The sequence below is a fragment of the Homo sapiens genome, chromosome X (genome assembly GCF_000001405.40).
Source record: "Homo sapiens chromosome X, GRCh38.p14 Primary Assembly".
NCBI lineage: Eukaryota > Metazoa > Chordata > Mammalia > Primates > Hominidae > Homo > Homo sapiens.
The window spans coordinates 129,750,873-129,773,966 of NC_000023.11; the positions used below are offsets into that span (position 1 = coordinate 129,750,873).

At 50.4% G+C, this 23,094-nt stretch overlaps 1 protein-coding gene across 1 annotated transcript in view, besides 5 other annotated features; it reads left to right on the forward strand.

Annotated features, from left to right (window-relative positions):
- XPNPEP2 (X-prolyl aminopeptidase 2) overlaps positions 1 to 18,664 on the forward strand; it is a 30,558-nt gene extending 11,894 nt beyond the window's left edge. The window contains exons 9-21 of the mRNA NM_003399.6: positions 873 to 954; positions 1,278 to 1,473; positions 2,287 to 2,376; positions 3,600 to 3,709; positions 4,422 to 4,499; positions 5,612 to 5,683; positions 8,308 to 8,368; positions 9,640 to 9,709; positions 10,300 to 10,404; positions 11,134 to 11,193; positions 11,822 to 11,898; positions 16,731 to 16,820; positions 17,419 to 18,664. Of these exons, the coding sequence (NP_003390.4) occupies positions 873 to 954; positions 1,278 to 1,473; positions 2,287 to 2,376; positions 3,600 to 3,709; positions 4,422 to 4,499; positions 5,612 to 5,683; positions 8,308 to 8,368; positions 9,640 to 9,709; positions 10,300 to 10,404; positions 11,134 to 11,193; positions 11,822 to 11,898; positions 16,731 to 16,820; positions 17,419 to 17,613 (1,286 nt within the window). The 3' untranslated portion in view covers positions 17,614 to 18,664. The remainder of the gene's footprint in view (positions 1 to 872; positions 955 to 1,277; positions 1,474 to 2,286; positions 2,377 to 3,599; positions 3,710 to 4,421; positions 4,500 to 5,611; positions 5,684 to 8,307; positions 8,369 to 9,639; positions 9,710 to 10,299; positions 10,405 to 11,133; positions 11,194 to 11,821; positions 11,899 to 16,730; positions 16,821 to 17,418) is intronic.
- Positions 5,013 to 5,512: an enhancer, noted in NCBI's record as "H3K4me1 hESC enhancer chrX:128889861-128890360 (GRCh37/hg19 assembly coordinates)". NCBI's record gives its function as "activates a minimal SCP1, AML or CMV promoter by ChIP-STARR-seq in primed H9 embryonic stem cells {active_cell/tissue: H9 hESC(primed)}" and the evidence as "EXISTENCE:reporter gene assay evidence [ECO:0000049][PMID:30033119]".
- Positions 9,106 to 9,155: an enhancer, noted in NCBI's record as "active region_29920". NCBI's record gives its function as "activates an Ori minimal core promoter by ATAC-STARR-seq in GM12878 lymphoblastoid cells {active_cell/tissue: GM12878}" and the evidence as "EXISTENCE:reporter gene assay evidence [ECO:0000049][PMID:35858748]".
- Positions 9,176 to 9,255: an enhancer, noted in NCBI's record as "active region_29921". NCBI's record gives its function as "activates an Ori minimal core promoter by ATAC-STARR-seq in GM12878 lymphoblastoid cells {active_cell/tissue: GM12878}" and the evidence as "EXISTENCE:reporter gene assay evidence [ECO:0000049][PMID:35858748]".
- Positions 17,533 to 18,033: an enhancer, noted in NCBI's record as "H3K27ac hESC enhancer chrX:128902381-128902881 (GRCh37/hg19 assembly coordinates)". NCBI's record gives its function as "activates a minimal SCP1, AML or CMV promoter by ChIP-STARR-seq in primed H9 embryonic stem cells {active_cell/tissue: H9 hESC(primed)}" and the evidence as "EXISTENCE:reporter gene assay evidence [ECO:0000049][PMID:30033119]".
- Positions 22,276 to 22,575: an enhancer, noted in NCBI's record as "active region_29922". NCBI's record gives its function as "activates an Ori minimal core promoter by ATAC-STARR-seq in GM12878 lymphoblastoid cells {active_cell/tissue: GM12878}" and the evidence as "EXISTENCE:reporter gene assay evidence [ECO:0000049][PMID:35858748]".

Genomic DNA, 23,094 nt, shown 5'->3' on the forward strand with positions numbered 1-23,094 from the left:
CCTCCCAACAACTTAGCCACTACCCCAGGGCACTCACACTCCCAGCTTTAGCACCCAGTGGGACTCTACTCTTTCCGACATGGCTCAGGACTTCTTGTCTGATCCCTATGGCTGGGCTTCAGATATTCCAGGGACCCACTGGAACTGTGTGCTGACTGCTAAGTATCTGCATTTTTCTGGGGGGAAAAGATCCATAACTCTCAACAGCATCTCAAAGACGCCCACTCCCCCACCCCCCCCCCCCGGCAAAAAGATTGAGTAACATGCAGAGGTAGATGATACAAGCATGCTGTTGGTAATCTTTGGAGGCCAAAGGAAACAGTGGGGCAAAAGTGTCAGAAATGCTTGCCTCTGGCCGGGTGCGGTGACTCACGCCTGTAATCCCAGCACTTTGGGAGGCCAAGGTGGGCGGATCACCTGAAGTCAGGAGTTCAAGACCAGCCTGACCAACATGTTGAAACGCCGTCTCTACTAAAAATACAAAAATTAGCTGGGCATGGTGGCAGGCATCTGCAAACCCAGCTACCTGGGAGGCTGAGGCAGGAGACTTGCTTGAACCTGCGAGGTGGAGATTGCAGTGAGATCTTGCCACTGCACTCCAGCCTGGGTGACAGAGCAAGATACTGTCAAAAAAGAAAGAAAAGAAAGAAAAAGAAAGAAAGGAAGAAAGAAAGAAAGAAAGAAAGAAAGAAAGAAAGAAAGAAAGAAAGAAAGAAAGAAAGAAAGGAAGGAAGGAAGGAAGGAAGGAAGGAAGGAAGGAAGGAAGGAAGGGAGGAAGGAAAGAAGGAAGGAAGGAAAGGAAAAAAAGAGGAAAAGAAAAGCTTGCCTCAGGCAGATCAGCATTAAATATTCCTTGTCAATTCTCTTCCCAGGGCTCTTCAACCTTCGAGCCAGTGACATCCCCTATAACCCCTTCTTCTATTCCTACACGCTGCTCACAGACTCTTCTATTAGGTATGGCTTTTCCTTAGCTTGCTGTTGTGGACTTTCTCCAACTTCCACCCTCTTGATGCCCCACCACTGATCCCGCCTTAATATACAGCCCTCTGGCTGCCCATCAGCTCGGCGCCTGCTGCAGCACGACCCTTTAGAAAACCCCCTGTTGTCTTTTCCTGACTCTTTAAACCTCTGTCCCTATTGAATCCCAAATCTGGCCTGCTTGGCTCCCTGGGGCTGGCTTCCTTTGACCTCCAGGAACAGAGGGACTGTGACTGCCTCTGGTCCTTTGCATCCTTAGCAGATGCTCAGGACCCTCCTTGTCTTCCCACCCCACCCAGGTTGTTTGCAAACAAGAGTCGCTTTAGCTCCGAAACCTTGAGCTATCTGAACTCCAGTTGCACAGGCCCCATGTGTGTGCAAATCGAGGATTACAGCCAAGTTCGTGACAGCATCCAGGCCTACTCATTGGGAGATGTGAGGATCTGGATTGGGACCAGCTATACCATGTATGGGATCTATGAAATGATACCCAAGGTGGGTTTGCCAGGCCCCAGCCCAAGCCAGGCACCAATCCCCACTCTAGGCCTGAGAAGTCTTAACCTAAAGTGAGGTGAAGCCCCTCAGCCATTCAGTCATCTGGTCAGCCAACAACTGTGCAGTGAGTTCCCTTCTTGGCCTAACTGGGAAGAGCCAGAAGAGGAAACAGGGATGGCCATCCAGAGAGCTCATAAAATTGTCAGGAGGCTGGAGAGTATACGGCCTGATCTAGCAGAGACTTTGGAGTCAGCCAAACTTGAAAATGAATTCCAGCTCTGTCCCTAACTAGCTGTGCAGTGACTTTGGACAAGCAACTTAGCCAATCTGGGTCTTTTTCTTCACCTATAAAATGGCAATAAGAGTCCTGACCTCGCAGGAGTCGCTCAGTGGAGATCTAAAGGAGATAGTGTATATGACTGACACATGGTAGTGTCCAATAAATGGTAGCTGTCATGATATGTACAGGAAACTTACACTGTCAGGACAGCCTGTCGAGTGACTCAGGCCAGACTCTGATCCATCCCAGAGTGCTGGTGGGATCCGAAGACAGGGAGTTCATTGCCAAGCAAGGCAGTGTCAATCAAGGAAGCCTTCCTGGAAGGAGAGAGGGTTCAGCTGGACGTGGAAAACTAGGAAAGACAGAAAGCACACACAGAGTAGAGAGCATTGCCACGAAATGGTGGCAAATCTCACGTCTGCTGGGTCCTCCTGCCAGTCCTCTGAAAACACCCCTGTGCCATGGAGACCTCCTTTACTGTGCCCCCAGACCTGTGCCCCCAGACCTCCTTTTCTCCTCCCTGCCCCCAACAGGAGAAACTCGTGACAGACACCTACTCCCCAGTGATGATGACCAAGGCAGTGAAGAACAGCAAGGAGCAGGCCCTCCTCAAGGCCAGCCACGTAAGTCCACGTTCAGGCAGACATGGCCTTTTGGGAGTATCCAGCCTAATGAGTTAGAAAGGAAAGGCCTCCAGAAGAGCCTGAAGAAGACCCTCAATGAAACAAAGAAGCAAGCTGGGCGCGGTGGCTCACGCCTGTAATCCTAGCACTTTGGGAGGCCAAGGTGAGAGGATTGCTTGAGCTCAGGAGTCCGAGAGCAGCCTGGCCAACATGGTGAAGCCCTGTCTCTACTAAAAATACAAAAATTAGCCAGGCGTGGTGGCGATCACCTGTAGTCCCAGCTACTCAGGAGGCTGAGGCACGAGAATCGCTTGAACCTGGGAAGTAGAGGTTGCAATGAGCTGAGATCATGCCACTGCACTCCAGCCTGGGCGAGACTAGGTCAAAAAAAAAGAAAGAAAGAAAGAAAAAGAAATAAAGAAGCAGACACCAAATTATTCCTGGGCGCCCACATGCACCTCATATCCTTGCCCCCAATATAGTACAGTGGTTTAGAGCACAGGCCCTGGAGCTAGGGTGCCTTGAGTTCAAACCACAGCTCCACCCAATTCCTAACTGGGTGACCTTGACCAAGTCATTTTACCTCTCTGGGCCTCAGTTACCCCATCTGTAAAATGAGGATCATAACAGTAATCTTACAGCATATGGTTGTTGTGAGAATTCAATGAATATGTATATTGCTCTGAGCACCACCTAGCACATTCTAAGTGTTAAATAAGTGTTAGCTATAATGATTTCCTCACACTGGCAAGAGGATGGCTCAATTTTTAAAAAAGAATTCTTGTTAAAATTAAGATAAACCACCTCATTTAAAAAAAACTTTGTCTCATAGGAAATTTTAAACACACACAAAGATAAAGAAAATAGCATCATAATCTCCAGTGTCCCTTCATCCAGCTTCAATAATCCTTGACTCATGGCCATTCTTGTCTTGTCTATAACCCCATGTTCATTACCACCACAACCACCCCCTCTGCTGCTGGATTCTTTTAAAAGTAAATCCTAGATAGTGTGTCATTTCTGCCGTCAACACAGAACTCTTTCAAAAACAGGAACACACTATGATCATATATAAACACTAACAAGAATTCTTTGACATCAAATAGCCAGTGTTTTCAAAGCTCCACATCCTGGAGCCGCTATCTGATCTCCATCATCTTGGAGCCTGTGGCTGCAACCAGACCTCACCCGGCTCCTCTGTTTCCCTGCTTCCCCAACTCCAGGTGCGGGACGCTGTGGCTGTGATCCGGTACTTGGTCTGGCTGGAGAAGAACGTGCCCAAAGGCACAGTGGATGAGTTCTCGGGGGCAGAGATCGTGGACAAGTTCCGAGGGTGAAGAGCCACGGCCGTCCTTTTTGGCTGACTGTCTTTTAGTGTGGCAGTGGGGGCAGGGAGGGGGAATTTGTCCCCTTACTTAGCAGAAAGGAAGATCCTCCTCATATGCGTGCTGGGTGGGGGAGGGCTCTGGAGAACAAGGAGTGACAGGTTCTTGGGTGGTCGGGGAGTTGAGCAGGGGGCGTTGGATGATATTTCCCGCCCCGCTGAAAGCAGGACAACTCGAAGGGCCACAACCCAATAGCGTCCCCTAGTGTCTGCTTCAGGTACGGTCTGAATCTCCCTGGGGGGTGCTGTGGCTCAGACCAGGTCAGCCCCTGGACCACTTGAGAATACCAGGTAGGGAGGAGGATTCCCGAAGGCATGCTTGGCCCAGGTCAGGGCCGGATTGTAGGTTTGAGGTACAGGATGCTCTCCCAGGACTGGGGGAGTTTTCAGATACAGAGAGCTGGGTTTCTTCACTCCTATCCGTAAAATGGAGGTGGAGAGGAAATAATGTGTGTCTACAGTGTGTCCTCTGATCTTCCTCTATAAATGACAGGTCAGGGCTTGAGGAGATGGAACCAGGAGGTGAGGGCTGGGAGAGCCAAATGGTGTCCAGTTGAGAGGTAGAGGCAGCCATGACCTTCATTGGATTTGATTAGATATCCCGGGCCCAGCCTAGTCCAGGGGCCCATTCATTGACCATGCCTTGCCTTGTACTTTCCAGAGAAGAACAGTTCTCCTCCGGACCCAGTTTTGAAACCATCTCTGCTAGTGGTCTGAATGCTGCCCTGGCCCACTACAGGTACTTGAGGAAAAAGAATTTTCTAGGGCCCTGTTGGGGCATCCTGTTGTGTGTGTAGAGGAACAGGGTGAGGGGAGGGGGATGTTCTGGGACCTGAGTCCACGTTGAAGGTCCGAGGCCCCTAGCCCTGTGGGGGCTGGGAGAGGAGCTCAGTGTGGAGTAGGGAGTTGCCTTGTAATGAAAAGGCCTGAGAGCTGGAGGCTGGGGGACCTGGAAGGAAGACACCGATGCCATTGGATGCTTTTCCCTGGCTTCCCATGTGTTGCTTATGTTAGCTAATGCTTAAAGCTCACGAGTTCACATGGAGAGAGGTCTGTTCACTCAGCCTGAACCAGCCAAGGTGGGCCCAAGATACAGGCTAGCCAGGTGTTTGGCCCTATAGAAAACAAACCCCTGCAGGCCTGCCTGATGAAAAGCTGACCAGCTGCCTCCGCCTGGCATGGGCACAGCAGGGAGAGGTCAATGCCCTCCAAGGGAGTGCCTGACATGTCCCAGAATTCCCTCCCCTGGTGTCCCCTGGTGTCTCCCACGCCTTCGGCTGCCTTGCCCCAGCCCCTCCTACCCACTCGGGCTAGAGTGGCAGGGTGGGTGCTCCTCGGCTTTACCACCTCTTGCTCAGCAGCCCCACCCTGGAGGTATCCTCCCTTCCTGTGCTCTGCTTCTTCTCAGGGCCCTCTGCTCTCGGAGGCAGCAGGAAGTTAGAGACAAAGGGCCGGAGGGAGCATCTGGGTAGAGGCCCAGCTCTTTGCCGCTTTACCGCGCATCCTCGTGCAAGCCCCTTGGCCTCCATAGGCCTGCTTCTCCTTATGGAAAAGGAGACAGCTGAGCTGGGGGGTCTCTAGGGCTCTCCCAGCTCTCATATTCTGGGCTTTACCCTCTCTCTCCTCCCTGGGGACCAGGGCCTGGCTCAGCCAGGTGCAGGATTAACAGACGTGTGCTGAGGACAGCAGCAACGGAAGCTGAGTTCTCTTCCAGGGCCCTTTGGGATAGAATGACTTCCTCCAGAGGGACTGGCCTGGAAGCCCAGGCCCCAGAGGTCCTCCCACCAAGGCCTCCCACGTGACCCAGTGCAGGGTTAGGCTGCCCTTCTCAACATTCTCTCCCCTTCTCAGCCCGACCAAGGAGCTGAACCGCAAGCTGTCCTCAGATGAGATGTACCTGCTGGACTCTGGGGGGCAGTACTGGTATGTACCCCGACCTCACCCTAGCCTGGATGTCTCTGCTCAGACCTCCTGAGCCTGCCAAGAGTCAGCCAAAGCTTTCCCTTCCTGGGCCACGGATTCTTCGTCTGAAAAAGGAGAGATCTGGAATGAGCCCCGAACATCCTACCCATTTTCACACATGGGGGTCCCTGCACAGTGGGAAATACACAGAGGCTGGAATAGTGGCAGGACCCAGGCAGCACCTCTGTGGGAATTAGGAAAAGACTCCCTTTGCTTAAGTTGCTGTTTTTTGTGGGTTGTTTGTTTGTTTGTTTCTTGACAGAGTCTCACTCTGTCGCCCAGGTTTGGAGTGCAGTGGCGCGATCTTGGCTCACTGCAACCTCTGCATCCCGGGTTCAAGTGATTCTCCTGCCTCAGCCTCCCAAGTAGCTTGGATTACAGGTGTCCACCACCATGCCCAGCTATATATATATATATATATATATATATACACACACACACACATATATATATACACACACATATATATACACACACATACACACACACACACACACATATATATATATGTATGTATTAGTAGAGATGGAGTTTCACCATGTTGGCCAGGCTGTTCTCAAACTCCTGACCTCAGGTGATCCACCTGCCCCAGCCTCCCAAAGTGCTGGGATTACAGACATGAGCCACCATGCCCAGCCTCAAGTAAAATGTTTTCTAAGTCCACGTATTATTACACAGTCTGAGCAACTATACTCAATGTCCCTGCCTGGCCACACAAACACATATACCCTACTCTCATCCACTAGTGCACACCCTGGACACCCCCGCACCACCAACGTCATGCAGACTCCTCAGCCCCCTCTTCCCCATGGCACTGTTCAGGGTGGAGGTGGGGGCAGATGAGAGAAGCAACCCTTTTGATGGGCTACCTTTGTACAGTGTACAACCTGAATGCTCAGACATGACAGCCGTGCAGAATAGACTAACCTGGCCAGGCGTGGTGGCTCACACCTGTAATCCCAGCACTTTGGGAGGCCGAGGCGGGCAGATCACCTGAGGTCAGGAGCTTGAGACCAGCCTGGGCAACATGGTGAAACCCCATCTCTACTAAAAATACAAAAATTTTCCGGGTGTGGTGGAGCATGCTTCCCAAGGGAAACTGAGGCAGGAGAATCGCTTGAACCCGGGAGGCGGAGGTTGCAGTGAGCCGAGATCGTGACACTGCACTCCAGTCTGAGCAATAAGAGCAAGACTATAAAAGGAAGAAAGAAAGAAAGAAAGAAAGAAAGAAAGAAAGAAAGAAAGAAAGAAAGAAAGAAAGAAAGAGGGAGAGAGAGAAAGAGAGAGAGAGAGAGAGAGAGAAAGAAAGAAAGAAAGAAAGAAAGAAAGAAAGAAAGAAAGAAAGAAAGAAAGAAAGAAAGAAAGAAAAAGAATAGGCTAACCCCATTCCTTCCAAACGTGTGACTGATCATTCACACCAGAGTTGAGCTGAGCTGAGCTGACCTGAAAGATTTTCCCTTCTCATTGAGGAAGGAAGTGTGGGAAGCGTGGGGTGGGACAAAAGAAGGGCCGTACTGAACTGATGGAGGAGCAAGGAGTCCTGTGGAAATGGCGAATGTGCTAACGACAGAGGCTCTTTGCTTGTTCTTAGCACAGCTCTAGGGGATCCAGAGTAGCAGGCGCTCAGCTTAGCAGCCTTTGCTGGTCAGGAGTTCGATGCTGTGTGTACTTGAGATGGCCAATGAGCAAAGGGGAAGTGAATTTGTGGGGGCGTTGCTGGAATGGGGTGTGCTCAGAGTAGGGTGAGGCCGGGGAAATAGTCACCTCACTTCCTCTTCTTTCCTTCTGAAGAAGAAGGTCACCACACCCCATGACCCAAGGAGAAGCCCCAGGGCCCTGGGACCATTTCTCCCCTCTCCCTCACCAAGGCATGATCACAGGGGCCATCTGTGGCAACTGCTGCAGCTGGGAGTTGGGAGTCAGACCTTGGGACTGAGGCTTCACCTAACTGGAACTCAGCAAGTCACTGGGTCAGATCCGTGTTTGCCATGGAGAGGACTGTGTGGAGAGGCAGTGCTTGCTCTAGGCCTGGCTTCACTGAGGTTCAGAGAGGGAAACAGCCGCATGGCCTCAATGGCCTCATCTGTGAACTGGGGATAATGAGGCCTCTTCTACCATTCTTCCCAGGGAGCAGCAAAAGTGTCCTATAAATGGTCGACAACTATCTGAATATGAGAGTGTTATGATAATATAATCTCTCTGGACCTCAGTTTCCCCAGCTGTAAAAAGGGGACATTCCCCTTTCTGCCTCCCAGGAAGCCTGGAAGAAGCCTTGCTTTCATAACCAGCTGGACCCAAGGAAACCCAGACCTACAGAACAGCCAAAATGAGTGGGATGGGGGAGGAGTGTGTAGGGTGGGGAGTCACACTTGTCAGACAACTTAGTAACTTTTAACTTGATAGGTTTGCAGAGGCCTTTCACACATAGGTGCTGAAGAGGGGATTTTGATTATGGTAGCTGTCTTCTTCCTTTCGCCGTCCACCCATCCCATCCCAGCCCTGCCACTTGTGGAAAGCACACAGAAAGCACATGGCCCCAGTCCCTAGCCCCAGGCATTTGGCATGTTGGTTTTCCTTCTCCATAGGGACGGGACCACAGACATCACCAGAACAGTCCACTGGGGCACCCCCTCTGCCTTCCAGAAGGTAAGCATGGGCCCAGATTTCCCCTCACCACCTTCCCCCAAGGGGGCACCCAAGCAGTCAAGATCCCTTCCATTTCAGAGGCTAAAACTGAAGCTCAGAGAGGTTAAGTAGTTTGCCCAAGGTGACACCACTGGTGCCGGAAAACCCAGTGCTCCCTGCTGCTTCCCCGGGGATATTTCAGGCCACTGACAAGGCCTCAGCCCAAGCTGAGCCTCATCCTATTCTGGTAAATCAGTGCACAAATATTTTTTTGTTGTTGCCTGTGTGCCTGGCCCTGTACTCAGCAGAAAGGAGAAAGAAAGGCATCCCAAGTGGAGGAAAACGGCACAAGTGAAGCCTCCGCGGTGGAAAGGAGCCAGAGGTGTTCAGGAAACATCGAGGGCTGGCCAGCTGGGGCAGAGGCGAGGGCATTGTCTCTGTGCACCAGAGGGCCCTGGGGGTGGAGCAGCGAGCTGCCGTCATGCTGCATGCAGCAGGCCGACTATGGGGCAGACATTGTGCTGGAAACACAGAGAGGGGAACAAAATGCTGTCCAGGTCTCCAGGAGCTCACAGTTTAGCGGCGGAGTCTGCTGCCTCTGGCTGTCCTGCCCAAAGTGACAAGCCTGTGAACCTGTGTGGTGATGGAGATTGACCACATCGCCTCTGGAAGTGACCAGAAGAGGCCACTGTCAGGCCACCTCCCTCCGCTGACAGAGGAAGGCTAAGCTGCCAAGTCAGCAAACCTCAACCCTCATGAAAGGCCTTAAGAAAACTCAGCAGCCGTCACAACCACAGGAATGAGTGTGCTAAACTTCCGTGAAGCATGCACGCTGTTGGCAGCACCTTCTGTACATTAGTCTGCCTGCCTCTCCCAACAACCTTAGGAGCTAGGTCCTGTTATCTTCCCATCGCAGATAAGGAAACTGAGGCACACAGCAGTTAAAGTCGCCTGCCCAAGGTCTCAGAGTGAGTGGCTAAGTCAGGATTCAGCCCAGGGAGTCACAGCCTCGGTTCACCGCCACCAAGTGTCTCCTGCAGATATTGTAATGATCCTCATAGACCAGCCAGAGGGAAGCACGTGATGGAGCCCCAGCTTTGGGAAGGCCCTCCTCAGCCTCTGCTGGCCATCTTCCAGAACCCGGGCAGCCACACATAACGATGAGACTCCCCCCACCCTGCCTACACACACCCAGGCCTGGGCCCTGCACCGTGTATCCATAGGCCAAGCAGCTGGATACTCCTCTGGCTCCTCCTCCCGTCCTCCATATCACCTCTTCCTCTCCCCATCAGGAGGCATACACCCGTGTGCTGATAGGAAATATTGACCTGTCCAGGCTCATCTTTCCCGCTGCTACATCAGGTGGGTTTCAGAAACCAGTCTGGACACAGCCTCAGGCCCTGATTTCACAGGACTCAGACCATCACCCTGGGAGGCTGGTGGGGCAAGGATTTTGTCATCATCCCATCCCTTATGTAGATGAGAAAATCCAGCCTAGAGAGAGAAAGTGACTTGCCCAAGGTCACACAGAAGGTTAGCGGGAGATCCAGGCCTTGAACCTGAGTTTCCTGCCTCTTAATCTAACACTGTTGCTCAGAGGTGGGAGAGATCAGTGGGCCACAGCAATTATGGGAGGATTCTTAGAGGAATTAGGTGTCAAAGTGCAAAGCCCTGACAGATGGGGAGAAATTACAGTAGAGGCATCAATTCAGGTAATGGATACAATGTATGGTAAGCTGGAGATAGTGATGGGCTGGTCTGGCGAGGGAACCACTAACTCCATCCATCAGCCCTCCTCCATCCCAACCCAACATCATTGCATCAGTGCATGCTTAGCGGCCTCTCAGGGGCCCCTCTTCTTAGGCACCACTCTGATAGTGAAGCAAGAAGGGGCAAGGTGGACAGTCTTCGGTAAAGCCATCTGACTGGGGTCAATCTCTCTTCCCTTCCAGGGCGAATGGTGGAGGCCTTTGCCCGCAGAGCCTTGTGGGATGCTGGTCTCAATTATGGTCATGGGACAGGCCACGGCATTGGCAACTTCCTGTGTGTGCATGAGTGTAGGTGTCTCCTCAGCACTCCCCAGGCCACCCCCCTTTTATTATACCCTCTATGAAGGTAGAGAATTTCACAGGTATGGAAATGACAAAGACCCACAAAGATGCCATGATCTACCCAAGGTTACCCAGCTCCACAGGGTAAGTGAGGAATGCCAGCAGCAGGCCAGTCCTGCTGGCTGCTTGGCATTCAAGAGGGCACCAGAAAGAGGGTCAAGCCCTAGTGACTAACTTATATAGACCCCAGAGAAATAAAAGCCAGAGCCAGCTGCATGTGGTGACTCACACCCATAGTCCCACTGCTTTGGGAGGCCAAGGTGGGAGGATCACTTGAGGCCAGGAGTTTGAGATCAGCCTGGGAAACACAGCAAGACCCCGTCTCTACAAAAGAAATGTTTTAAGTATCCAGGTATGGTGGCATGTGCCTGTAGTCCTGGCTACTCGGGAGGCTGAGGTGGGAGGATCCCAGGAGGTCAAGGCTGCAGTGAGCCATGATGGCGCCACTGCACTCCAGCCTGGGCAACACAGCAAGACCCCTCTCAATACCTAAATAAATAATAAAAGCCAGAGCCAATCTGGTGTGTGCCAGGCCCAGGCAGACAATGATGTGATGGACCTGTGCTCATAGAGATGCTCTGGGATCCTCACTTATCTGCTCTTCCTCGGAAGCTGCTCACTTCCAAGCTGGTGAGTATAGGAGAACTGATACCATGTTTATGTCTTCCTTTCTAGGGCCAGTGGGATTCCAGTCCAACAACATCGCTATGGCCAAGGGCATGTTCACTTCCATTGGTATGGCCCTCAGGCCCCTCTACCTCACCACCCCATCCCAGAGCAGGACTAGCCCAGGACTGCAGTCTAGAGTGTACCAGACTTCAGAGGAGCACAGCAGGCACTAGTACAGCTCGGGACTCACCTCCCCATTCCCACCGCTACGCCCAGCCCCAAATGGCTTGTCCCACCCTAATTCCAGCTCCCCTCAGCCCAGACCCTCTTTTTGCTCTTGGGAGTTGTTTCCCAGCTGTATATTCAGACGAGATCAGGTGCGTTCAGGGTGGTATGGCCGTAGACCCAGCTGTATATTCAGACTCTGGAGTTGCCAAATGCTGGAGTAACAGGACAGTGGCATCCAGGGAGATGGGAGTACCTTCAGGACCCAAGTGGGTTTTTAGGGCTTCCCTGCTGGGCTACAGGGAAGAGAGAGTGAGTCAGAGATGCCCCTGTGGGGGATCTGAGGCCTGACAGGGATGAGTTGCCTCTGCTTAGCCAACAAACATCTAACCAGTTGTGGGGCTGCCAGAGTCAACAGCCAGGGGACAGCCAGACAGCCAGTCCCTCCAGCCACTCATCAGTAGGTACAGGAAGCCTGGGCTTGGGCCCTCTCCCAGCTTAATGCCACCAGCATCTCTGTGTCTCCCAGAACCTGGTTACTATAAGGATGGAGAATTTGGGATCCGTCTCGAAGATGTGGCTCTCGTGGTAGAAGCAAAGACCAAGGTAAACTGCCACCAGGATGGGCTGGAGGTGTGGGCAGCATGTCAGTGACTTTGGGCTGCATGGGAGGAAAGTGGGGAGGAAGATCAAAGGAGAAGGGCATTTAGTGTGCAGGCATGAATTTATCTGGAGTCTTCCTTAGGAATTCCATAAGTCAGACTTTTCAAACTCGCTTGCACATTTGAATCACCCAGAGAGCTTTCTGGTGCTTTAAATGCCCATGCCCAGGCCCCATTCCAGACCAAGTGAATCAGTATCCCTGCCCTATATCATTGGTTCTCAATGCACATAATAATCGCCAGGGGAGCTTGTTAGAAATAAAGATTCTGTATAATAGCAGCCAACAAGATAAAATACCTAGATGTAAACTTAAAAAGGCTTACATGGAGAAACTCTCTACTAAGGGACATAAAAAAGATTTAAGTAAATGGTGCTCTCTGGAGAGAAGCCTCAATATTATGAAGATATCATTACTCTCTAAATTAATCTATAAATTCAAGATAACCTCAATTCCAGTGCTAACTGGATACTTTTGTAACTTCACAAAATGATAGTAAAGTTTATTTGTAAAAATAAACATGCGAAGATAGCTAGGAAAATTCTGAAAAAGAAGAGCAGGGCCAGGTGCAGTGCCTCATGCCTGTAATCCCAGCACTCTGGGAGGCCAAGGCAGGAGGATCGCTTGAGCTCAGGAGTTTGAGAGCAGCCTGGGCAACATGGCAAGACCCCATCTCAACAAAAAATACAAAAAAAAATTAGCTGCACATGGTGTCATGCACCTGCAGTCCCAGCTACTCGGGAGGCTGAAGTGGGAGGATGGTCTAAGCCTAGGGAGGTTGAGGCTGCAGTGAGCTGTGACCACGCCACTGCACTCTAGCCTCGGTAACAGAGCAAAACCCAATCTAAAAAAAAAGCAATAAGAAAAGCCAGTCCTCTCAAATTTGAACACAAACTACCATAACTAAAACAGTATGACACTGGAGATGAAATAGATAGCTGTAACAATGAAACAGAACAATCAGTCCAGAAGTAAACCCTCTTATTCCCATAAACAACATGGGAATTTAGTTTACAAGAAAGCTGATTTTGCAAAAAAGTAAGAAAAAAATGATTATTCAGCAAATGGACAGGGGGAACAAATGGCTAATCATTTGGGGGGATTAAACTGAATAACCTCCAAAATAAAATTCCAGATGGACCAAAGTTTTAAGGTGAGCAATGAGACCACAAAAGATGTAGAGGAAAACCTATATCAATTCATTTATAATCTCAGGGTGGAAAAGAGTCTTTCTGTGCAAGACCAGAAGCCATGAAGGAAAAGATTAATAACTCTGACTAAATAGAAAATGGAAACAATGTTTATGGAAACAATGCCATAAACAAAGCCAAGAGATGTGTGACAAATATCTCTTGGCTTTGTTTATGGCATTGTGAGAGGGTGAGTTTTCTTATTTTACCATGAGCTTTTTACAAATCCGTAAGACAAAAATAGACAAAACAGGAAAAAATAGGGCAAAGGACATGAAAAGGCAATTCACTAAAATTAACACCAAATGGTCCACATGCATGTGGAAAGATGCTCAAGTTCATCCTTAAAGAAATACAAGACCGGGCGTGGTGGCTTATGCCTGTAATCCCAGCACTTTGGAAGGCCGAGGCTGGTGGATCACCTGAGGTCAGGAGTTCGAGACCAGCCTGACCAACACGGAGAAACCCCATATCTACTAAAAATACAAAATTAGCCGGGTGTGGTGGTGCATGCCTGTAATCCCAGCTACTCATGGGGCTGAGGCAGGAGAATCACTTGAACCTGGGAGGCGGAGGTTGCGGTGAGCCAAGATCATGCCATTGTACTCCAACCTGGGCAACAAGAGCAAAACTCTGTCTCAAAAAAAAAAAAAAAATACAAATCAGGGCCAGGCATGGTGGCTCACACCTGTAATCCCAACACTTTGGGAGGCAGAAGTCAGCGGATCACTTGAGGTCAGGAGTTCAAGACCAGCCTGGCCAACATGGTGAAGCCCCATTTCTACTAAAAATACAAAAATTAGCCAGGCGTGGTAGTGTGTGCCTGTAATCTCAGCTACTCAGGAGGCTGAGGCAAGAGAATCGCTTGAACCCGGGAGGTGGAGGTTGCGGTGAGCCAAGATCACACCACTGCACTCCAGCCTGGGCGACAGAGCGAGAATCTGTCTCTAAAAAAAGAAGAAGGAAAAGAAAGAAAAGAGAAGGGAAAAAAAAGTCTCTTTCTTGCTCAGTTTCCTTCCTGAGAACATTTCAGGCACACACAGCGTATGTATCTATCTATGTATATATTTTGAAAATACAAACAAAATGGATTCTACTGTACATACTTTTCTGCACCTTCCTTCCCTGCCCCGCTGCCCCTTACTTAATAGTAAACCTAGGAGAGTGGTCTGCAATAGCGCAGGGAGATCTACCTCATTCTTTTGAAGGGTTGTCGAAGAGCCTATAGTATGTGGATGTCCCATGATTTATTTAACCAACCGTGGATATTGAGGCTGTTTCCAAATTTTTACTATATTTGCCATCAATGCTACAAATCACTGTATAAACATCTTGGTGAGCTTTTGGGACTATATCCAGAAGGTACATATCTGGCGTAGGGATTTCCAAGACAAAAAGTACAAGCATTTTTAATAGGTAATTTGATAGATATTGTCAAACTGCCCTCCAGAAAGGTTGCACCAATTGTACTTTCTCCAACAGTGTGTGAGAGTGCCCATTTCCTCACATACTCACTAGCACTGAGAATCATCGAAGTCACTAATTTTTCCAATCTGATAGGTGAAACATGGTATTCTATTGTTGTTTTGACTTGTATTTCTTTTTTTCTTTCTTTCTTTCTTTTTTTTTTTTTTTTTTTTTTGATGGAGTCTCCCTCTTTCTCCCAGGCTGGAGTGCAGTGGCGAGATCTTGGCTCACTGCAACCTCCGCCTCCCAGGTTCAAGTGATTCTCTTGCCTTAGTCTCTTGAGTAGCTGGAATTACAGGCACACACCACCACGACTGGCTAATTTTTGTATTTTTAGTAGAAACAGGGTTTCACCGTGTTGGCCAGGCTGGTCTTGAACTCCTGACCTCAGGTGATGCACCTGCCTTGGCCTCCCAAAGTTCTGGATTACAGGCGTGAGCCACCACACCCAGCCTTGAATTTCTTTAAGGATGAACTTGAGCATCTTTCCACATGTATGTGAACCATTTGGTGTTAAATTTTAGTGAATTGCTTTTTCATGTCCTTTGCCTTATTTTTTCCTGTTTTGCCTATTTTTGTCTTATGGATTTGTAAAAGCTCATGGTAAATATGAAAATTCACCCTCTCTCTGTGATATGTGCTATATTTGTCACACAACTCTTGGCTTTGTTTATGGCATTGTTTCCATAAACATTGTTTCCATTTTCTGTTTAGTTTAGTCAGAGTTATTAATCTTTTCCTTCATAGCTTCTGGTCTTGCACAGAAAGACTCTTTTCCACCCTGAGATTATAAATGAATTGATATAGGTTTTCCTCTACATCTTTTGTGGTTTCAGCCTCCCGAGTAGCTGGGACTACAGGCGCCCACCACCATGCCCAACTAATTTTTGTGTTTTTAGTAGAGAGTAGAGACGGGGTTTCACCATGTTGGTAATGCTGGTCTTGAACTCCTGACCTCAAATGATCCACCCACCTCAGCCTCCCAAAGTGCTGGGATTACAGGCGTAAGCCATCCATTGCACCTGGCCTCTTTTTTTTTTTTTAGAGACAGGGTCTCACTCTGTTGCTGAGGCTGGAGTGCAGTGGCACGATCACAGCCCGCTGCAGCTTCAACCTCCTGGGCTCAGGTGATGCTCCCACCCTTCCACCTCAGACTCCCAAATAACTAGGACTATAGATGGACACCACCATGCTCAGCTAATTTTTGTGTTTTTTTGTAGAGACTGGTGTATTAGTCTGTTCTCACATTGCTATAAAGATACTACCCAAGACTGGGTAATTTTTAAAGGAAAGAGGTTTAATTGGCTCACAGTTCCCACATGCCTGGGGAGGCCTTGGGAAACTTATAATCATGGCAGAAGGCGAAGGGGAAGCAAGGATCTCGACATGGTGGCAGGAAAGAGAGAGCTAACAAGAGCAGGGAAAACTGTCTTATAAAACCATCAGATCAGCCAGGCGTGGTGGGTCATGCCTGTAATCCCAGCACTTTGGGAAGCTGAGGTGGGTGGTTCACCTGAGCTTAGGAGTTCGAGACCAGCCTAGCCAACATGGTGAAACCTCATCTCTACAAAAAATACAAAAAGTATCTGGGTGTGGTGGTGCCCATCAATAATCCCAGCTACTTGGAAGGCTGAGGTAGAAGGATCACCTGAGCCCAGGAGGTAGAGGCTGCAGAGGGCCGTCATCGTGTCACTGCTCTCCAGCTTGGGTAACAGAGGGAGATCCTATCTCAAAAAAAATAAAATAAAATAATTGAAATTTAGATTTCTGGGCCCTGCCCTAAGGATTCTGCCTCCAGTAGGTTTGGGAGGTGGGCCCTGGAATCTGCATATTTATCATGCTCCCTAAGTGCTGTTGATGTGCGTACTTTGAAAAACACAAACCTAAGTCTAAATTTCCAGAATCAGGAGGGAAGCACCAAAGGTGGAGCACTAAGTGGCAGACAAGGGGGCTGGCCAAGAGAAGGGACTCTAGAAGGCTCAGGCCTAGCCAGGGTGTCCAGGGTTGATGAGGCCCAGCTCCTTGTGTCCTCCGGGTGGAGTGCTCCTTCCTTCCCTTCAGCCCAGTTCCTCCTCCTCCCTCACTGTCCTGCTTACCCGGCTTCTATTCTGGGCTCCCAGTACCCAGGGAGCTACCTGACCTTTGAAGTGGTATCATTTGTGCCCTATGACCGGAACCTCATCGATGTCAGCCTGCTGTCTCCCGAGCATGTGAGTGCCCCTCAGCATTGCCTTCTCCCTGACCCTGGGCCTTTCCTGCCTCTGCTACCTGCCACCACATCCTCTGTCCCTGCCCCTCCTCCAGGAGGGTCCACACTGGTGGCACCTGCAGACACACACTGGGGCATTCCTCCCCAGCTCATCAGAGACCCCAGAGCTTCTAGAACTTTCCAGTCAGACCAGCCTGCCCAACCCCAGGTAGTGAATAACTGGAGGAATCTGAGATTGGGCCTCTGAGCTCGGCCACTACAAGGCCTGGAACTATAAGTGATCCCTTCTATTCTTTTGCCTCAGTCTCCTCTTTTGTAAGCTGAGGATAAGAATGCCTGCCCAGCTTACTCCCATTCCCGGGCCTGAAATCTACCCACCCCACCGCCCATGAACATCACCATGACATGAAACAGCCAGCCAGGGGAACTGCCTCTGAAAAGCCCCAGAGAATTCCTGAAGCCTGATGATGGTGGGGGACCTGTGGCCATCTGGACTATGGTGACAGCTGGAGTACCACAACAGGGGACTGGGCGTCACCAAGACTTCACCTCTTGGCAGCTTGGCTTAGAGAGGCTGTCACCCCTTCTATCCTTCGCAGCTCCAGTACCTGAATCGCTACTACCAGACCATCCGGGAGAAGGTGGGTCCAGAGCTGCAGAGGCGCCAGCTACTAGAGGAGTTCGAGTGGCTTCAACAGCACACAGAGCCCCTGGCCGCCAGGGCCCCAGACACCGCCTCCTGGGCCTCTGTGTTAGTGGTCTCCACCCTTGCCATCCTTGGCTGGAGTGTCTAGAGGCTCCAGACTCTCCTGTTAACCCTCCATCTAGATGGGGGGCTCCCTTGCTTAGCTCCCCTCACCCTGCACTGAACATACCCCAAGAGCCCCTGCTGGCCCATTGCCTAGAAACCTTTGCATTCATCCTCCTTCTCCAAGACCTATGGAGAAGGTCCCAGGCCCCAGGAACACAGGGCTTCTTGGCCCCAGATGGCACCTCCCTGCACCCCGGGGTTGTATACCACACCCTGGGCCCCTAATCCCAGGCCCCGAGATAGGAAAGCCAGCTAGTCTCTTCTCTTCTGTGATCTCAGTAGGCCTAACCTATAACCTAGCACAGACTGCTACAGCTGCTCCCCTCCCGCCAAACAAAACCCCAAGAGAGCAATGCCCCTACCACCCAAGGGTGCCATGGTCCCGGGAGAGCCCAAACCTATCACCACCTGTTGGGCATAGCCAGAGCTGTTCCCACCCAGCCAGGGCATGAAACATCAACCCCCCACATGTGAACCCATCATTCCTAAACCCTGGGTAGGCTCCATGCCAAGTAACAGCAGAGGGAGTTAAGCCATAGGAATTTGGCTGTGGAGTAAGAGGGAATGCGGTGAGGCACTCTGGAATATGACCCTACCAGAGGTTGGAGAACAAACTTGGGCAGCCGGAACCCGTCACTATTCTAGACTTCCCTGGCATTCGAGGAGCCCTTTGAACTTTCCAAAGTGCAGCCACAGCTACAATGCTGTTAAATCCTCCCACATTCTTGGATGCCCCTTCACCTTGTGTGGACAGTGTCTGGTTTCTCCATTTTACAGACAGGAAAACTGAGCTTCAGACAGGGGGTGGGCTTTGCCTAAGGACACACAAATTTGGTTGGGAGTTGATGGGGCCAGATGAGCCAGCATTCCAGCTCTTTCACCCTTCAGCAACATGCAGAGTCCCTGAGCCCACCTCCCAGCCCTCTCCTCATTCTCTGAACCCACTGTGGTGAGAAGAATTTGCTCCGGCCAAATTGGCCGTTAGCCACCTGGGTCCACATCCTGCTAAGACGTTTAAAACAGCCTAACAAAGACACTTGCCTCTGGGTTTTGCATTGTGTCTGCTGTGTTGCCGGAGACTGCTGTCACCTGTGGCTTTTGTGGTGGGGGAGGAAGAAGAGAGGGTGAGGTGGGGGTGGGGACATGAGGCTCCTAGAAGCTCAGTGGGGGAGCACGTGGGCTTGAGAGTATGTGTGTGAGCATGCATATGAATATGTGTGCGCATGTGCACAGATGCACGTGCACACCACGCCCAACCAGCCAACCTCCAGCCTGTCTAAAAAGGTATTGTAACCTTGTGGAAGGGACAGAAAGGAGCCCTACACTGGGGAACTTGTCAAATGTAATCCAGAAAAGTTGGGGCTGGCACCTTTGCCAAGCAGCGCACAGTTGGTGGAAGGAAAGAACCAAGGTGCAGGGTGCCAGGCAAAGGCACCAGGCAGAGAAGTCTCCTGGCCTGAAACCATCAGGCCTAGTCTGCTGAGTGTGAGGGTGACCTGTGATGGTTACCATCACCAGTGCTTGCATCCAGAGGCTCCAGCCCTGACCAAGCCTTACTGAGTATCCAAAGATGGGCCTCTGTTTGCTAAATAATTTGCTCCCTCACCTGCTCACCCCACAAAGACAGGTACTACTAATAAAATTAAAGTCATCATCACCCTCATCATCATCACCATCATCATCATCATGGCTGCCATTTACTGAGTGTTTATGTGCCACCGTGCAAGAAGCTTTACATGCATTTTCTCATTTAATCCTCACAACCTCTGAGAAGGCCCTTTTCTTATTCCCATTTTACAAGTGCAGGAACTCAGTGAGGCCCATAGAGATTTATCAAGTGACTCAAAGTCACTTTTTTCATTGGGTAAATGAAAAAAAGCCAGATTTAAACCAGTCAGAGGACTCTAGAATCCACTCTCAAGAAAGGGCAAGTCCTGGCCGGGTGTGGTGGCTCACCCCTGTAATCACAGCACTTTGGGAGGCCGAGGTGGGAGGATCACATGAGGCCAGGATTTCAAGAGCAGCCTGGGCAACATGGTGAAACCCCATCTCTACTGAAAATACAAAAATTAGCTGGGTGTGGTGGCGCACACCTATAGTCCCAGCTACTCGGGAGGCTGATGCAGGAGAATCGTTTGAACCCAGGAGGCGGAGGTTGCAGTGAGCTGAGATCGTGCCACTGCACTCCAGCCTGGGCAACAGAGCGAGACTCCATCTCAAAAAATAATAATAATAATAAAATAAAGAAAAATAAAGGGCAAGTGGTATGGCTTTCATCATTTTACTGACAAGAAAACTGAGGCTCAAGCAGGAGAAGCAGATCCACACCATAGTGCCTCCCCAGACCCTGCCAGACCTTTGCCTTTGCACCCTGACACTTGCTCCTGGGGTTCTGGCAGGTCATGGGTGGCAAGACCAGGCACCTGACCAACACCCTCACACAGGCCTTTCGGACCGAGGCAGCTCGTGCTTTTTTCCTCAGTGCGAGACCCAGGACTCCACCTCATCTCTGAATCCCCTTAACTGCCCCTTCCAGCCTACCATTCTGGGAGGAAGAACCCAGCCCTGGAACGTGGCTGGAACGAGGGCTCACAGTCACCCCAGCTCTTCCCTCCCCTGGGACCCAGATGGCCAGACTTGACCATTCCTGCTTTAAGGGATTAACTCTGGGTCAGGCAGGGAAACAGGGCACATACACCAGGGCTGATACACAGGGACTCTTGTGACATCGTTAGGAATGAAAGATTGTTAGGAACTGTCCCCTTGGGCTCTAGTACTTTGTTTTAATGTTGGAGGATGGGGCTTAGCAAACCTCTCCTCGCCTGCTGATTGCCTGGGGAGCCGGCCATGTGGAAAAGCCCCTTTTCCTAGGAGTTAAGATTCTGGGGTTTGAGTCCCATTTGTGCCAGCTGTGTGGCCTTGGGCAAGTCACTTCTCCCTGGTCTTCAGTTATCCTTTCTGGAATCTCCCATGCTGCCTTCTTGGTGAGGTTACAGCGAGAGGCTCATGAGACCCGGATGTGGCAGCACTCTAAACCAGGAAGCCACACAGACAAGAAATGATATTGCTGTTATTTGCCCAGCACAAGTTCAATTCAGCTTCACCTTTGCAGGTAGGTAAGAAAAAGGTCTGGAACCCAAGTTTTATATATAAATAGCCAAAATTAGAAAGGCTCTAGAGCAAACATCTAATTTACGTCTTTCCAACTATGCTCCCGGGAGCCTGAGATGCCTCAGAAACACCACAGGGGCTGTCGAGGAAAACAGAGCTGCTGCACGAAGTAGCCCTGACGGGCTTCCCGTAAAATTGTACTTGAAGTAGTTGCAGGGCCAGCTTCACGGGTGTAGGACCTGTGCAGTCCCTCAAGACTTTGTGCTTACAAGGGCCCCATGCTTGGTTTAATGCTCGCCTGTCACTGTCTCAAAATTCTTGATAATTTTTAAGCAAGAGGCACCGGGCATTTTCATTTTGCACAAGGCCCGCAAAATTCAAGAGCCAATCCTGAATAGGAGCTCCATGACCAAACACACACACACACACACACACACACACACACACACACACACACACACAAAACCTGGTGCAGTCCTTTCAGTGTACAGATGGGAAAACTTCAACAGCAACCCAGGAAGAGGAAGGGACTTGTCCAAGGTCACACAGTCCAGTGGGGCCAGAGCAAGGACTAAATCCGCAGCATACTGACTCAGCTCCACAATGGCTCCGCTCTCGCTTTCAGTGTGTGCTTCTGTCACTCCCTTACTGCCTCTAATGACCCACTGAGGCCCAAGGAGACCTGTTGAAGGTCACACAGCTGTGACAACAATGGTGACGGCGGTGTTGAGCCACGTTCCTTCAAGCTTCAAATCTGAATAGAAAAGGGCATAGGTAAGATGATAGGTAGATAGGTACATACACAAATCATCTAAATAGCTCCTTTTGTTTTTTGTTTTTTTTTTTAGAGAGAGGGTCTTGCTCTGTCACCCAGGCTGGAGAGCAATGGCACCATCATAGCTCACCGTAACCTTGAAATCCTGGGCTCAAGTGCTTCTCCCGCCTCAGCCTCCTGATTAGCTAGGACTACAGGCATGCACCGCCATGCCCGATTAATTTTTTTTTTAATTTTTATTTTATAGAGATGATGTCTATGTTGCCTAGGCTGGTCTCAAATTTCTGGCCTCAAGCAATCCTCCTGCCTTGGCCTCCCAAAGTGCTGGGATTACAGGTGTGAGACAATAGTTCATTTTTTAAAATGATAACTAACTCAGCCTTTGCTGGTTTGCCAGTCAGCTGGTTCCAGCTGTGTGTGAGTTGGGACCTCAGAAGGGGCTGGGCTGGCTACTCTTCAGCCAGCTAAACCACGTCAGCAGTGAATTTTACCAACTCACTGGGTGCTTCCTCAAATCAGTGGTTGGGCACTCTTGGCACCAAAAAATATATATATATAGAAGTGCGAAAGATTCAGTAGCAACCGTTTCCTCCCTGTCCGTCCCTGCTCCTCATGGCTCGTCACAGCCAGGAGGGGGAGGTGCTCCCCAAACCCCAAGCCAGCTAGCCTTTGCCCAGAGGCCGGCCCATCTCTTCACTTCCTTGTTTCTTTGTGAAACAGGAACTGAGCAAGCAGCTTAAGTCGGGTAGGATGGGTGGTTGAGAAAGCCCCAGTGGTCCGTGGCAAGTCCACGAAGCTGAAAAGCTGGTTTCTCTCCCAGCGGGTCCCAGGCAGCTTCAGGCCCTCTTGTTTGTCACACCTCTTGTGTTCTAGAACAACTTGGGGTGAGGGATGCACTCTTGACAAGGTGGAGACATAGGATATGGGCCACAGGGTCACGTAGCAGAGATTCAGATGCGGACCTCAAGAGACATAGAAGCAGGTGCCAGGCCGGGCATGGTGGCTCACGCCTATAATCCCAGCTCTTTAGGAGGCCAAGGTGGGTGGATCACCTGAGGTCAGGGGTTCGAGACCAGCCTGGTTTGGCAACATGGTCGGCAACATGGTGAAACCCTGTCTCTACTAAAAATACAAAAAATTAGCTGGGTGTGGTGGCAGGCGCCTGTAATCCCAGCTACTCGGGAGGCTGAGACAGGAGAATCTGGGAGGCGAAGGCTGCAGTGAGCCGAGATCTTGCCACTGCACTCCAGCCTGGGCCACAGAGTGAGACTCTGTCTCAAAAAAAAAAAAAAGAAGAAGAAGAAGATTCCAAGGGGACACTAAGGGAGAAAGCGGCAGCTCCTAACGGTCACCAAGGCCTTCCTGGATTTAGCAAGGGGAGAAACTCCAGGTGGAGTCTGAAGTGAACTGATGTGGAGTCACTCACCAGGTACCCAGCACTTTCCACTAGCTGGGGCACTGGGCTGAGAGCACTCCCTCTATGCATGTCACCTGAGTAGTAACCCTAGTCACACACACCCACAAGAAAGGCCCACATTATCACTGTTACCATCTTCACTAAGGCTCATTGCAGGTGAG